The sequence below is a fragment of the Homo sapiens genome, chromosome 13 (genome assembly GCF_000001405.40).
Source record: "Homo sapiens chromosome 13, GRCh38.p14 Primary Assembly".
Classification (NCBI taxonomy): Eukaryota; Metazoa; Chordata; class Mammalia; order Primates; family Hominidae; genus Homo; species Homo sapiens.
Genome location: NC_000013.11, coordinates 64,533,085 through 64,535,439, shown reverse-complemented (window position 1 = coordinate 64,535,439; position 2,355 = coordinate 64,533,085). Strand labels below are relative to the sequence as shown.

At 35.6% G+C, this 2,355-nt stretch overlaps 1 annotated feature.

Annotated features, from left to right (window-relative positions):
• Positions 620–1,244: an enhancer, noted in NCBI's record as "OCT4-NANOG hESC enhancer chr13:65108328-65108952 (GRCh37/hg19 assembly coordinates)". NCBI's record gives its function as "activates a minimal SCP1, AML or CMV promoter by ChIP-STARR-seq in naive and primed H9 embryonic stem cells {active_cell/tissue: H9 hESC(naive and primed)}" and the evidence as "EXISTENCE:reporter gene assay evidence [ECO:0000049][PMID:30033119]".

Here is a 2,355-nt window from a genome sequence, read left to right as displayed (position 1 = left end):
TCAAGGTTCTTTTTTTAACCCTAATTATAGTTCTGAGTGGAGTAGGTCTTATTTGTTAAGCCCCTGGATTAAAAGAAACTCTCATTTAGACGTATTTGTATCCTCCAGGAATGCTTAAACATAATAGATGTACAATAAATATTTATTAAATTGCATTGCAAATTAAGAGTCTGATTCTTTGGAATTACTTCTGCAAAGAGTAATGCATTGTAATCATCTTGATACCTAGATGTTTCAACAGCACTAAATAGGAATGTGTGCATACATACTTGAATAATGAATAAACAAAGAAACACTCATTGTCTGTAAAGTAAAAAAAGTTATTACTATATATAAATGCATTTATTTATTTATGATTTATTGTAGAAAAAAAAGGGTGGTAATATTGTCTAGAACAGAACTATTAACCTTAGCACTATTAACATGTGCTGAATAATTCTTTGTTTTTGGTGACCATGCTGTGCATTGAAGGACATTTAGCAGGAGATGTCCATAATGTCTTCCAGATCATGGCAATTGAAATGTCTCCGCAAGCCAAAGATCTGCAGGCATCAATATTGTCTCTGGTTGAGAGCCACTGGTCTAGGAAAAGACGCCATTGATCAATCCTCACTCTCAAAGTTGAGCTTTTTACTGCAAAAACTTTCCCTTGAACTTATCAAATGATTGAACAGGTCAATTAGGCAGTTTTCTCTAAAGAAAATCACAAAGAAAGAAGAAATAGAAAATTATCTTTATCTCTAATCATTGAGACTATTAGGAAAAAAAAAAGATAATTAAGAAATTGCAATATGATTCCTAATGTGACCACTCTCTGAGTTTTGGACCAAAGTAAGGAGACTTGTGAGGTGGTTTGGGAGATTTTCTAAGGAGAATGGGCTTTTCCCATCTAAATGTTTGGGACTTTGAATAACAATGGACTTACAAGCTGTCCCTGACAATTAAAGTGTGGCTGTTTTAAACTAAGCTTGTTGGTGGAAAGTGGGTAGACAGGAGGAAGGCCAGAGTTTAGCTTTCTAAAGTCTCTTTCGTTTCTTGCTTGTAGTTTATGGGAAGCTGAATTCCCTGCAGAGGGTATGTAGAGAGCACGAAGGTAGGGACTCAGTGGGCATATCAAGGAATCTGTCAAGGTAAGAAGGGGTAGCCTGAACCAACTGCCAGTCAACTGTTGAGTCCTTGAAAAACCACTAGGAAAACAAAAACAAAAACAAATGCAAACAAATAAAACTTGATCACCCATAGCTAAGTTCTTAGATTTAATGTGGTAAGAGAAAATATCAATTTGACAGAGTCTTATTACTATCTCAAAAGGAAAAAATTCATGGGAAAATATTTTATTTGGACTTAGGAGGAGACATATTATGATATAATAGTTTTGAATTGGTGAATAAAGTGAACACCCTGACGTAAGAATCTTGAAGCAAATCCTGACGAACTGTTCGTAATAAACTATTTGAGGTGGTTCGCAGTGTTATTATTCAGAAGCAATTATTTCCTGGAGACAGTAACTAAGTTTCTTTTGCTTATTCTCACTATTGTGTAAAATCGGGACAGTCAAATTATGTTGGTTTCAGTTCTTATGCCAAATGGAGGACAAGGAAAGAAGCAGATGGGTGTCTAGTGAGAATCAAGAAAGGGCTATGTTTTCCAGAAAAGAAGCTAAGACATTCCTATCGTAAGGGAGACAGGACTTAAAGTAAACCATCCTAAGATTTTAGCAACAGTAGGCAGCAAAATTCTCAAGGATGGAATCTGCCTTACCTCAGGCCCCCATCCCAGGGGCAGGTTAAAATCACATTAGAACAGAGACCCAGGGTGGGGCGTGGAGTGTTGTTACTGAGAATACTGTGTGGATTTCAATATCTGTGTCTCCTCAATCCACATATGATTTTTGAGGACTTACTACACCAATTCCCAAACAACATTTTGGGTAAAGAGTGATGAGAGAGGGTTCAGAGAGGAAAATCTGAGAATTTTACCTAAAGAACTGTTTGAATAATTGTACCACATTAAGCTTCCAGGATCTGGGCAGCATTTTGTTCTTCTCCACTGCTATACAGAGAATCCATCCAAACAATTTTAGGAATCAAAAAGACATATTTTATTTGTTTATCTGTGTACGATGTGTTTTAATTTGTGAAGTCTTATAGTAAATAACTGTTAATTGGAGGAACAAATGTTCATGTGATCTATAAGGAGTGATGAAGAAACACACACACACACACACACACACAAATAGTGTCAGAGGCCTCGAAGCTACTCTGAAATTTAAAATCAGAGAGAAAATAATATTCTAGAGAAAGGAAAATCTAAGCAAGTTATGAAGATAAAAACCAACTGGCAATTTTAATATTT